General features: G+C 39.2%; 1 protein-coding gene across 1 annotated transcript in view; it reads right to left on the reverse strand.

The window, feature by feature from the left end:
• The window catches only part of RNF103-CHMP3 (RNF103-CHMP3 readthrough), a 217,693-nt gene that overhangs the window by 171,757 nt on the left and 32,595 nt on the right, over window positions 1-13,341 (reverse strand). The window contains exon 2 of the mRNA NM_001198954.1: window positions 13,046-13,139. The gene's annotated coding sequence lies outside the window, so the exon portion shown is untranslated. The remainder of the gene's footprint in view (window positions 1-13,045; window positions 13,140-13,341) is intronic.

A 13,341-nucleotide genomic window follows, 5' to 3' on the forward strand; every position in this document is an offset into this window, starting at 1 on the left:
TGAAAAATCTTTTGGAAAATCTTTGTGCAAAGCTTCCAAGAAAGCCGATCTGGTCCTTGCCATTGTCTGCTTTGTTGTTAAATATAGAATCTGAGGCTCTGGACTTGCTCATCTGGTATCTTTTATGAGTACTGCTTGTACATAAAATATTCTTCTGTGTCCCATTTAGTGTAGTCAAATGAATATATTTAGGCATGCGAGGTTTTTTTCCCTTAGGGCTTTTTTTAAACTGACAATTTTATGAGGAAAAAATTCATACCTATAAAACAACCTGCTACAGCTTTTTTGGATGTTTCTCCAATCCTTATCAGTGTAAACATATATGATGTACATCTTCACTTTAAGATTGGCTGTGAATCATTGGTGTGTAGACTGTTTAATGACCACATATTCCTCCCATCCCTTTTCTTATCCCCCTTCACCCTAGCTTCACCTCAGCCTCAACCCTCAGCCTCTCCTGCTGTCTCTCCAAGGGCTCAGACTTGGTGCCCAACCTATTAGCACACAGAGCCCTGGCTGCCAAGGATGGGAAAGGAGGCAGAGTTTCCTTTCTGTCTGCAACCTAGAAGACACATGGTACTTAATTTCCTCATCAGGTTACCTGGACAGGTCTGTTTTGTAAAGATAATACAGGTGGTAGTATGAGGCATGCCACCTAGAGGTGAAGTTGATTGCGTCTCCTCTTGAATCTCTGTTGGTCTTATGAACGGCTTTGCCCAACAGATTGTAGTTTCTGCTCTTGCCCTCCTGCAATGCTGCTGTCGTCATGTGAAGGAGCTTGGAATAGCCTCCTTGCTATGACAGACCATGTGGAGACAGAAAGGCCCACTTTCAAACACCAGACATGTGAGCAAGGCCTTTTTATACCATCCAACTTGAGTTGAGCTACTAGATGACTATAGTCACAAGAGTAAACCCAGACCAGGCCAACCAAGAGACCATTTAGCTGAGCCCAGCCCAAATTGCTGACCCACAGAATTGTGGGTAAATAAAATGGTTCTTGTTTTAAGTCATTAACTTTTAGGTAGTTTGTACATAATAATAGATAACTGATATAATTTGGTATCTGATATTTGCATTCTGATTTTGGAATCAACATTAATTTTTATATAATTTTTCATGTATTGAATAAGTTGTAAGATAATTTAAAAAGACCATACACAGTTCTATTATATTATCTTACCATACTTTACTTAAACTTTTCGCAATAATTGGACTTTTGGTTTATATAGAGTTTTTCATTTTTATGGATAATATTGTTCTAAACGTATTTGTACAAATGGTTTGTAAATTCTTTCCTGTTGATTTCTTAGAAAAATTTCTTACCAAAAGTGAATTAGTAGAGGAAAGAATGCCAAGTGTTAACTCTCTTTACATATTACTTGACTGCTTTCCAAAAGATTTTTATCAATTTATAGGGCAGCCAGCTGTGTACCTGTCTCCCTGTGCCCCCTCAGCAATTTTTTTTAATTTAGCAATATTTTTTTACCGAGGGGGATGGAGTTTTGCTCTTGTTGCCCAAGCTGGAGTGCAATGGCATGATCTCAGCTCACTGCAACCTCTGCCTCCCGGGTTCAAGCAATTCTTCTGCCTCAGCCTCCCAAGTAGCTGGGATTACAGGCGTGCGCCACCACGCTCGGCTAATTTTTTGTATTGTTAGTAGAAACAGGGTTTCACCATGCTAGCCAGGATGTTCTCAATCTCCTGACCTCATGATCTGCCTGCCTCAGCCTCCCAAAGTTCTGGGATTACAGGCGTGAGCCACCACGCCCTGCCTAATTTAGCAATTTTTAAATTGAGATGTGCTATGATCTGAAAGTTTGTGTCCCCCCAAAATCTGTATATTGAAATCGTAATCCCCAAAATGATGGTATAGGAGGTGGGGGCCTTTGAGAGATGATTAGGTCATGAGGTTAGAGCCTTGTGAATGGGATTAGTGTCCTGATGAAAGTGGCCAGAGAGATACCCCTTGCTATTTCTGCCATGTGAGGTTACAGCCAGAAGATCGTTAACCCTGAGAAAGCAGGCCCCCACCAGACACTGACTCTGCCAGTGCCTTGATCTTGGACTTCCCAGCCTCCAGAATTATGAGAAATAAATTCCTATTGTTTATAATCCACCTAGTTTATGGCATTTTGTTATAGCAACTCAAACGGACTAAAACAGGGTGTAACATATATGTGGCAAAGCATACAAATCTTAATTATATGGCTTGATTAATATCTACAGATAGAGATGGATAGATAGATAAATATACAGGCTCTGTGTAATCACCACCCATATGAAGATTCAAAACATTTCCAGCTCTCCAGAAGTTTCTCTTGTGCCCCTTCCTAGTCAATACCAGCTGCAGAAGTAACCACATTCTGACTTCCACAACCATAGATTAATTTTGCCTAATCTTGAACTTCACATAAATGGAACCATACTCTTGTGTACTCTTGCATGCCTGCCTTCTTTTGCTCATCACTATATCTGTGAAATCCATCCATCTGGTTGTTGCATATGGCAGTGGGTCATTCTTTTCATTACTAAGTGTTACTCCACTAAGTGAGGATGCCACCTTTTCTTTACCCATTCTTCATTTGACGGGCATATGTGTAGTTTTTCTTTTGATGTTATTAAACAATGTTTTTAAAAACTTTTTTCAATTATTTTAATAGCTCAATAGATGTGTGTTGGTGCCTTAGAGGTGATTCATTATTAATATCCTCAATTAGTGTTGGAGTGTAGCAGAGGAGGGACCAGGGACTAGTTTGAATGAGTGGGTGGGGAGCAGATGATAAAGGCTTTGTGAGCCATGCTGAGGAACTTGGACTTTGCAGCATGGACAGAGGGGAGTCACTGAAGGATTTGAAGCAAGAGAGGGAATTTCTCAAATTTGCATTTTAGGGAAATAACTCTGGCAGTGGGAAGGAGAATAGATGATTTGAGGAAAAGCCTGAAGGAGGAAGATTCCTAGGCAGAAGGCTAGGCAATAGCACAGATGAGAGATAAGCTGGGCCTTAGCTAATGTAGTGGCAACAGAACTAGTATCTGATGGGACTTGGGAGATGAGAAGGCAGGAGGCAGTAACTAAGGGTTTCTGCTGGGTAACTACGGTGGTGATAGGGTGGTGATACAGGCATGGACTAAAATAAGAAGTGAGGTTGGGGAGCAGGAAGAGACAATACATTGAGAAAGATGCCAAGGTTATCTTGGATATGTTGAATTTAAGATATCTGTGGCATGTCCAGGTGGAGCTACATAACGGCTGGATATGTAGCTCCAGAATTTGGGAAAGCAGTCCTATTAGAGATAGAGATTTCATCAGCACATGGTAGAAAATCCTGGAAGGTTGATGAGGTTAGTTAGAAAATCACTGAGGGCAAGAAGGTAGGCAGTGAAAAGGGAAGCCAACGAAGGAGGTAACAGGAAAGAAGTGGGTCTTAGAAGTCCAGGGGAGAAAATTTTAAAAAGGAAGTACCCACAGAGTGGGAGCCAGATTGCAGGGAGTTGAGGAGATGGAAGCAAGTCATTAGATTTCCTTTTTCAGAAACTGAGCTGCAGATAAGAAGAAAAATGATGGTGTCACGGCCGAGATCAACATCTTCTTCTTTTTTTCTTTTTTTTTGACCCAGGGTCTGTGTTGCCCAGGCTGAAGTGCAGTAGTGGCACAATCACAGCTCACTGCAGCCTTGACCTCCTGGGCTCAGGTGATCCTCCCATCTCCCACCTCAGGCTCCCAAGTAGCCAGGACTATAGGCACACCACACCATGCCAGCTGATTTTTTACTTTTTGTAGAGATGGGGTCTCGCTATGCTGCCCAGCCTGCAAGATCAACTTTTTTGTTTGTTTATTTTTTAAGCAATAGAGATATGAACATGTTTATAGGATGTGGAGAATAAAAGACTGAACAAGTATGGAAGGGAGACAATAATTGATGGAATGAGATCCTGGAGTTGGGAGCAGGGGGTGGGGATTATGCATAGAGATAGAGGGATTGAATAGGTAGAAGAGGCCATTTTATCCTCTGAGATGGGGGAAACCCCCAATAGAAAATGAAAATCATCAATCTGTGGAAATACTACCCTACTCAGTGGTGTGGTTTGCCCCAGAAGCTTTCAGCAACTTGGGTATAGGGGATTGTCTGGTTCTGCTACTGTTGATCACTGAGATAGCTTCTAGTTCTTCAATATTTTAGTAATGGAAAAAATTTATTTTTCATCACTTCCTCTCTTTCCTAAAAAATATAACATTACTAATAGAATTGAACACCTGATCACATTTCTTTCCTCTTCTTTGAGGTAACCACTATTCTGAAGTAGCAATGGTGTTCTCTACAGCTAATGTTATATTTTCACTAAGCCTGTAGTACCCATAACTAATATAAAGCATTGTTTTATATGCTTTAAGACTGTAAAAAAAATTGGTATCCTACTATATTATTCTGCAACTTGCTTTTATTCATTATCATATTTTTTGAAAATTATCTATATTAACTCATGAGGATAAAATCAGCTCCAATGTATTTTAGCTGCTGTGTTTTTTATTTTCAAAAAATGCCAATTTATTTATCAGTTCTCCAATTTTGTTTCCAGTGTTTCATTATTACAAAAAATGAACATATACAAAGCTTTCTTTGTGATAATGATTTCTTTTCTTTCTTTCTTTCTTTCTTTGTTTCTTTTTTTTTTTTTTTTAAGATGGAGTCTCACTCTGTTGCCCAGGCTGGAGTGCAGTGGCCCAATCTTGGCTTACTACAACCTCCACCTCCCAGGTTCAAGCGATTCTCCTGCCTCAGCCTCCTGAGAAGCTAGGACTATAGGTGTGTGCCACCAGGCCTGGCTAATTTTTTGTATTTTTAGTACAAACGGGGTTTCACTGTGTTAGCCAGGATGGTCTCAATCTCCTGACCTTGTGATCCGCCTGCCTCAGCCTCCCAAAGTGCTGAGATTACAGGCGTGAACCACCACGCCCGGCCATGATGATGATTTTCACATTAAAAGAATGTGTATCCTTTTTTTTTAGGCAGTATTTTGTGTAAACATCAATGAAATCAAGTTGCTCAGTAGTGTTGCTGAAATCTCTTGCGTCTTTACTAACTTTGTCTGTTCTATCAATTACTGAGAGAAGGGTATTAAACTGTTCAAGCATGGTTGTGGGTTTGTCTGTTTCTCCCTTTAGTTCTGTAGGTTTTGCTTTATATACTTGAAACTTTATTACTATATGTATACACATGTATAAGATTATGTCTTATTGATGAATTGACTCTTTTATCATTAAAATGTCCTCCTTTTTTTAAACTTTAAACTCACAACTACACTTAGAATATGTCTTCTTATTTCTGTTCATAATCCTTAACTTGAAGTCTATTTTGTCTAATATTAATATAGCCACTCCAGTATTCTTATGATAGTAAGTGTTTGCTTGGTACATTTTTGCTATCCCTTTACTTTCATCCTCCACCCTTCACAGGATGGAGAGCACAGCTGAGCAGGTGCAGGAGCTGGGGCGAGTACTTCTGGGTGTGGACAGGAGCAAAACTTTGTGTGGGCCCCGCAGCAGCATCTAGTAGGGAGTACCCATGACTCTTGAAACCCCAGAAGGAATGTTACAGGCAGCGCTCTTTTAGCTTTTCCATCCGCAGATGGCTTAAGTGTTTAACAGCTCAGTGGACCCTCTGCCTTTTCACAAGGGTAGTGGGTCACTGTTATAGGCTTCTGTATCCCAAGCTCTTGTCCAGAGTCAAGGAAAAATCAGATCGCATGGATGAATTGACGGATAGTAAATATAGGGGATTTTCTTGCTGATGGAAGTGGCTCTCAGTGGGAAAGGGAACTACAAAGGGGATGGAGCAGGAAGGTATTCTTCCCGGGATGTCCAGCTGTCTCTGGCCAGACTCTTCTCCTAAGTCCTGCTGTCAAGCTGTCCCTCTGAAGTCAAGAGACTTCTCTAACGTTCAGCTGCTTCTTCTCCCTTTCTCTGCTCTCTGCCAGTGGAGCCTGGGGTTTTCATAGGTACAGGATGTGGGGTGGAGTGGGCCAGGGGTGGTTTTGGAAAAGGTGACATTCAAGCGGGGAAAATGGGGATGGAAAGTTCTCATTCGGGGCTGTGGTTCCAGACTTCAGGGTGTGGCCCTCACCAGGGACCCCACTCTTTTCTGCCTAGAATTTCTCTGCCTCCTGTCCGAATCAATGATCACGCCACTGCACTCCAGCCTGGGTGACAAAGAAAGATCCTGATTTAAAATAAAAAGAAAGAAAAGAAAAAGAAAGCGAGAAAGGAAGGATTCTAAATAGCAAATAAATTTTCATCTTCCCTGATGACAATAAATTGTTCCTGTAAACTAATCAGAATATGTAATGTTTATGGATTTTTTTTTTTTTCCAAGACAGAATCTTGCTCTGTCATCCAGGCTGCAGTGCAGCGGCACGATCTCGGCTCACTGCAACCTTTGCCTCCAGGGTTCAAGCGATTCTCGTGTCTCAGCCTCCCAGGGAGCTGGGATTACAGGCACTTGCCACCACGCCTCGCCAAGTTTTGTATTTTAGTAGAGTCGGGGGTTTCACCATTTTGGCCAGGCTGGTCTCAAACTCCTGATGTCAAGTGATCTGCCCACCTCAGCCTCCCAAATTGCTGGGATCAGAGATGTGAGCCACCGCACCCAGCCTTAATGTTTATGTTTTAAATAAATATGTTCAAAATTCATTTAGAGTGCTCTGGAAAACCTCTAAGTAGGTTAGAAAATCCTGTTTAAAAGTTGTTTGCTTTTTATATTTAACTATGCAGATGGAGTTTTTAAAAATAATTTTTAAAGCAGTTTTAGTTTTACAATAATTGATAGGCTTAATTTTTTTTAAAGCAGTTTTAGTTTTACAGAAAAGCTGAGCAGAAAGTACAGGGAACTCTCATATTCTTCCCTTCTCTCTGCACCCACTTTGGTCCTCATTTCCCCTATTATTAATGCCTTACATTAGAAGTTTTATAGTTTTGCATTTTACATGTAGTTTTGCATTTTACATGAAGTTTTATAGTTTTGCATTTTACATAGTACATTTTACTATGATCCATTTTGAGTTAATTTTTGTGAAAGATGTAAGGCATGTGTCTACATTCATTTTTTTCCCATGTGAATGTCCAATTGTTTCAGTATCATTTGCTGAAGACTGTCCTTTCTTCGTTGAATTGCCTTTGCTTGTCTGTCAAAGATCAGTTGGCTATATTTGTGTGTTTCTTTCTGGCCTCTCTATTCTGTTCCATTAATCTATTTGTCTATTCTTTCACCAATACCACACTGTCTTGATTACTGTACAGTAAGTCTTGAAGTTTTGCAGCGTCAGTTCTCTGACTTTTTCTCGTCAATATTGTGTTGGCTATTCTGGGTCTTTTGCTTTTCCATATTAACCTTAGAATCTGTTAGTCAATATCTACAAAACGACTTGTAATTTTTATTGGTATTGCGTTAAATGTATAGATCATGTTGTAAAGAACTGACATTTTAACAATATTGAGTTTCCTATCCATGATTCTTTCATGACAGTTTAATAGTGTTCCTTATATAGCTCTTGTACATATTTTGCTAAATTTATACCTAAGTATTTCTCTTTTTCTTTCAGGGTGCTAATGTAAATGATGTTGTGTCTTTATTTTTATTTTTTATTTTCTTTCTTAAGCTAAGGACGCTACTGAAGATGTGTTATCAATTTCAAATTCCAATAGGTCATTGCTGGTATAGAGGAAAGCAACTGACTTTGTATATTAACCTTGTATCCTACAACTTTGCTATAAGTGCGTATCAGCTCCAGGAATTAGTTGCCTTTTTTGTTTGTTTTGTCAATTCTTTGGGATTTTCTACATAGAAAATCATCATCTGTAAACAAAGACAGTTTTATTTCTTCCTTCTTGATCTGTATATCTTTCGTTTTTTTTTGAGACGGAGTCTTACTCTGTTGCCCAGGCTGGAGTGCAGTGGGGTGATCTCGGCTCACTGCAACCTCTGCCTCCTGGGTTCAAGTGATTCTCCTGTCTCAGCCTCCCGAGTAGCTGGGATTATAGGCACACACCGTCATGCCCGGCTAATTTTTTTGTATTTCAGTAGAGACGGGGTTTCACCATGTTGCCCAGGCTGGTCTCGAACTCCTGAGCTCAGGCAATCCACCCACCTCAGCCTCCCAAAGTGTTGGGATTACAGGCGTGAGCCACCGCGACTGGCCAATCTGTATATCTTTTATTTCCTTGTCTTGTCTTATTGTGTTAGCCATGACTCTCAGAATGATGTTGAATAAGACTGGTGAAAGTATACTCTTTTGTGTAGCTCCTAATTTTAGGAAGAAAGCATCATCAGTACCTATGACATTAGCTGTAGGGGTTTTTGTAGATGTTCTTTATCAAACTGAGGAAGTCCCCCTCTACTCCTAGTTTGCTGAGAGTTTTTATGATGAATGGGTGATGGATTTTGTCAAATTCTCTTTCTGTATTTGATCATATGATTTATCTTCTTTAGTGTCTTGGTGTAATAACTTACATTAATTCATCTCTTCTCAGCCTTTTGGCTAAGATCAAATGTAGTCATATTAATTGATTTTGCATATTAGTCTTGTATACCTAAAATAAATCCCACTTGGTCATGGTGTATAATTCTTTTTAGATTTGTTGAATTTTATTTGTTAATATTTTGTTGAGGACTTTTGTATCTATATTCATGAGAGATATTGGTCTGTAGTTGTTTTTTCTTGTAATATCTTTGGTTTTAGTATTAGGGTAATGCTGTCCTCAAAGAATGTTAGAATGTATTCCCTCTGCTTCTATTTCCTGGAAGAGACTATAGAGAATTGTTATAATTTACTTCTTAAATATTTGGTAGAATTCACCAGTGAATCCATCTGAGCCTGGTACATTCTGTCTTGGAAAGTTATTAATTATTGATTCAATTTATTTAGTAGATACAGGCCTATTTATATCATCTATTTCTCCTTGTGAGAGTTTCGGTAGATTGTCTTTTAAGGAACTGGTCTACTTCATCTAGATTATCAAATTTGTGGGCATATAATTATTTATCACATTCTTTTATTACGCTTTTAATGTTCATAGTGATATGCCTTCTTTCATTTCTGATATTAGTAATTTGTGTCTCCTATTTTTATTCATTAGTTTGAGTAAAGATTTATAAATTTCACTGATCTTTGCAAAGAAACAGTTTTGGGTTGATTGATTCTTTTTCTATTGATTTCCTGTTTTCAATTTCGATGTTTTCTGCCCTGATTTTTATAATTTCTCTTTTTCTGCTTATGTTTAATTTAATTTACTCCTCCTTTTCTTCCTTCCTCCCTCCCTTCCTTCCTTTTTTTTTTTTTTTTTTTTTTTGGCATTTTGCTCTTGTTGCCCAGACTGTAGTGCAATGGTGCGATCTCAGCTCACCGCAACCTCTGCCTCCCAGGTTCAAGTGATTTTCCTGCCTCAGCCTCCCGAGTAGCTGGGATTACAGGCATGTGCCACCAAGCCTGGCTAATTTTTTTTTTTTGAGATGGATTCTTGCTCTGTTGCCCAGGCTAGAGTGCAGTGGCACGATCTCGGTTTACTGCAACCTCCACCTCCCAGGGTTCAAGCGATTCTCCTGTCTCAGCCTCCCGAGTAGCTGGGACTGCAGGTGCCTACCACTGTGCCCAGCTAATTTTTTTGTATTTTTAGTAGAGACAGGGTTTCACCATCTGGGCCAGGCTGGTCTCAAACTCCTGACCTTGTCATCCTCCTGCCTCGGCCTCCCAAAGTGCTGGGGTTACAGTGGTGAGCCACCGCGCTCTGCCTATTTTGTATTTTTTTTAGTAGAGACGGGGTTCCTCCATGTTGGTCAGGCTGGTCTCGAATTCCCGACCTCAGGTGATCCCCCAGCCTCAGCCTCCCAAAGTGCTAGGATTACAGGCATCAGCCATGACGCCTGGCCAATTTGCACCTCCTTTTCTAGTTTCCTGAGACAGAAACTTAAGTGATTAATTTTAGGTCTTTTTTATTTTCCTATATAAGCATTTAATGGTATAAATTTTCCTTTAAGCACTGCTTTCACTGCATCTGACAAATTTTGATAAGTCATAATTTCATTTTTATTGAGTTAAAATATTTTAAAATTTCACTTCTCTTGAGGCTTCTTCCTTGACCTACTGATTATTTAGAAATGTGTAGTTTAATTGCCAAATATTTTTGGATTTTCGAGCTATCTTTCTGTTATTATTTCTAGTTTAATCCCATTGTCAAGATTTGTTTTATCACCCAGAATGTGGTCTCTCTTGGTGAATGTTCCATGTGAGCTTGGGAAGAATGTGTATTTTGTTGCTGTTGGATGAAGTATTTTATAAATGTCAATTAGATTCAGTTGATTGATGGTGCTGTTTATGTTTAGTTCAACTATATAATTACTGATTTCATGCCTACTGGATCTGTCAACTACTAATAGAGGGGTGTTGAAGTCTCTAAGTATTATAGTGTATTCATCAATTTCTCCTTGCAGTTCTATCAGTTTCACTGCATGTATTTTGACACTCTTGTTAGGTATGTACACATTAAGGATTGTTATATTTTCTTGGAGATTTTTAAAATCTTGTACTGCTCCTCTGTATCCCTGAGAATTTCCCTTGTGCTAAATTCTTTGTCTGAAATTAATGTAGAACTCCGGTTTTCTTTTGACTAGTATTAGCATGGCATAATTCTTTAAGTTTTTATTTTTATTCTATTTGCATCTTTATATTTAAAATGGGTTTCTTTTAAACAAAATTTAGTTAGGCCTTTTTTTTTCTAATTTTTTCATCTTGTGGGGACTTGTTTTTTTTAACCACTCTGACAGTCTTTTTTAATTGGTGTACTTAGGCCATTCACATTTAAAGTGAATATTGATATCATTGGATTAATACCTACTGTATTTTAAACTTTTCTATTCATTGCTTTTGTTCTGTTTCTTTTTTTATCTTCCACTCTTTTTCTGCCTTCTCTGTTTTTGTTTTTGTTTTTGTTTTTTTGCCTTCTCTGGTTTTAATTGTGCATTTTAAGATTCCATTTTCTCTTCTCTCATATCAATTATATTTCTTTTTAGTGGTTTCCCTAAAATTTTTAATATACATGTATAACTAATGCAAGCCCACTTTAAAGTAATAGTGTACTGCTTCACAGTACAAGTACCTTATAATGGTTTTCCCAGTGCCTCCCTCCCACGCCTTACAGCATGCGTCCATTCATTTCACTTATTCATAAGCAATGGTCACTGAAAGCATGGATTGTATAGGTTAGAACTAAATTGGTATAGCGAAAATTTCATTTATTTTGTAAATAATTTTTCCCGTGTGGCTGTTATTGTGCTCTACCATTTTATATTTTATTAGTGATCCAGTGATTTTTGAAGACAAGGTATGAGACAGAAGAAAATATTATAGGCCTAGATCCATGGACTCTTCTGATGGGGTTGATGAAGAGTTTTAACCGATATTTATTTATTTATTTATTTATTTATTTATTTATTTATTTATTTATTTTGGGGATAGGGTCTCACTCTGTCGCCCAGGCTAGAGTGCAGCGGTGTAATTATAGCTCACTGTAGCCTCAAACTCCTGGGCTCAAATGATCCTCCTGCCTTAGCCTTCAGAGTAGCTAGGACTACAGGCATGTGCCACCATGCCTTGTTATTTTCTTGTTGTTGTAGAGAAGAGATCTTGCTATGTTGCCCAGGTGTTTTCAAACTACTAGCCTCAACCAATCCTACCATGTTAGCCTCCCAAAGTGCTGGGATTACAGATGAGAGCCACCATGCCCAGTCAAGAATTTTAATCCTTTGAAGCATTTTACTACACCAGACAACAAGGAACTCTGGTAATCCAAATTGTTCCATTCCTTTGTGCATTGTCTGTGGTAAACAACTTACACATCCAGCAATGGCTCTGGCAAAACTGCAAAGACTCTTAACTCCAAAGCACAGACATTTGACAAGTAAAAGGGCAGATTATTTTCGGTGGTTACTGGAACATTGAAAGACAGTAAAGCTTTTGTTAAAAAACAAACAAACAAAAAAAAGTCGTAGTCAGTGAATAGCCTCAGGAAGCAAGCTATTTAGTAGCAGTTATTTAATGTCCAGAAAAGGAAAATGCACACAGTAATGAGAACCTAAATTAGAGTAAATAAAATGCTAGGGCCAGCTCGAGCCCAGGATTGAGTCCAGTTTGGGCAACATAACGAGATGCTGTCTCTAAAAACAAACAAACATAAAATACTAGGACAAGATGTAGCATGCGAAAATGAAAAGTTTTCTCTCTCAATACCATTAGTCAACGTATTGATGATACATGCCATAAACGGAAACAAATGGTTCTCTATGTAGGTTGATGAATCAACAGATTTTACCAATAAATGTCATATTATAACATTAGTGGTTGTTGTTTGAGATGGAATCTCGCTCTGTTGCCCAGGCTGGAGTGCAGTGGTGCGATCTCGTTCACTGCAACCTCAGCCTCCCAGGTCCAAGCGATTCTCCTGCCTCAGCCTCTCAAGTAGCTGGGACTACAGGCACAGGCCACCACACCTGGCTAATTAATATCATAACATTTGTAAGATTTTTAAACAAGGTGGTTTTCAAGACTTTTTTTTTTTCTGGTGCAAAGAGCTGTCCCAAACAAGCAAAATCCCGGATAAATTTTTTTTTTTTTTTTTTTTTTTTTTGAGACGGAGTCTCGCTCTGTCACCCAGGCCGGAGCGCAATGGCGCGATCTCGGCCCACTGCAACCTCCGCCTACCGGGTTCAAGTGATTGTCCTGCCTCAGCCTCCCAAGTAGCTGGGATTACAGGCATGCACCACGACGCCCAGCTAATTTTGTATTTTTAATAGAGACAGGTTTCTCCATTTTGGTCAGGCTGGTCTGAACTGCTGACCTCAGGTGATCCGCCCGCCTCGGCCTCCCAAAGTGCTGGAATTACAGGCGTGAGCCACAGTGCCCGGCCCCGGGTGCATTTAATGTTCTGTCGTTGTATCTGGAATGAAAAGGTCTGATCTGGAAGAAATATGTGGGCATCTATACTGACAGGACTCACCAGTGAACTCCAGGAGCGGCAAAGGGAACACAGGAAATTCTGACTTCGTTCACAACACACTCTTTTCTTCATAGAGAGGTGCTGGTGTCAAAGCCTGTCAAAGAAGAAATTTTAAAAGTCTGGATGATGTGACAAAAATAGTCAACTTTCTTAAATAGAGCTACAGTCTGATCATGTACTGAAGATGAGATTTACTCATCTATCTCTTGACAAACTGGATTTCTATGAAAAAATAGTTTTCTGATATTCACGGGAAAGCAACGAACACCTCGGTGGTTTTTAACTTCTTTTTTTTG

Source organism: Homo sapiens, chromosome 2, assembly GCF_000001405.40.
Source record: "Homo sapiens chromosome 2, GRCh38.p14 Primary Assembly".
Classification (NCBI taxonomy): Eukaryota; Metazoa; Chordata; class Mammalia; order Primates; family Hominidae; genus Homo; species Homo sapiens.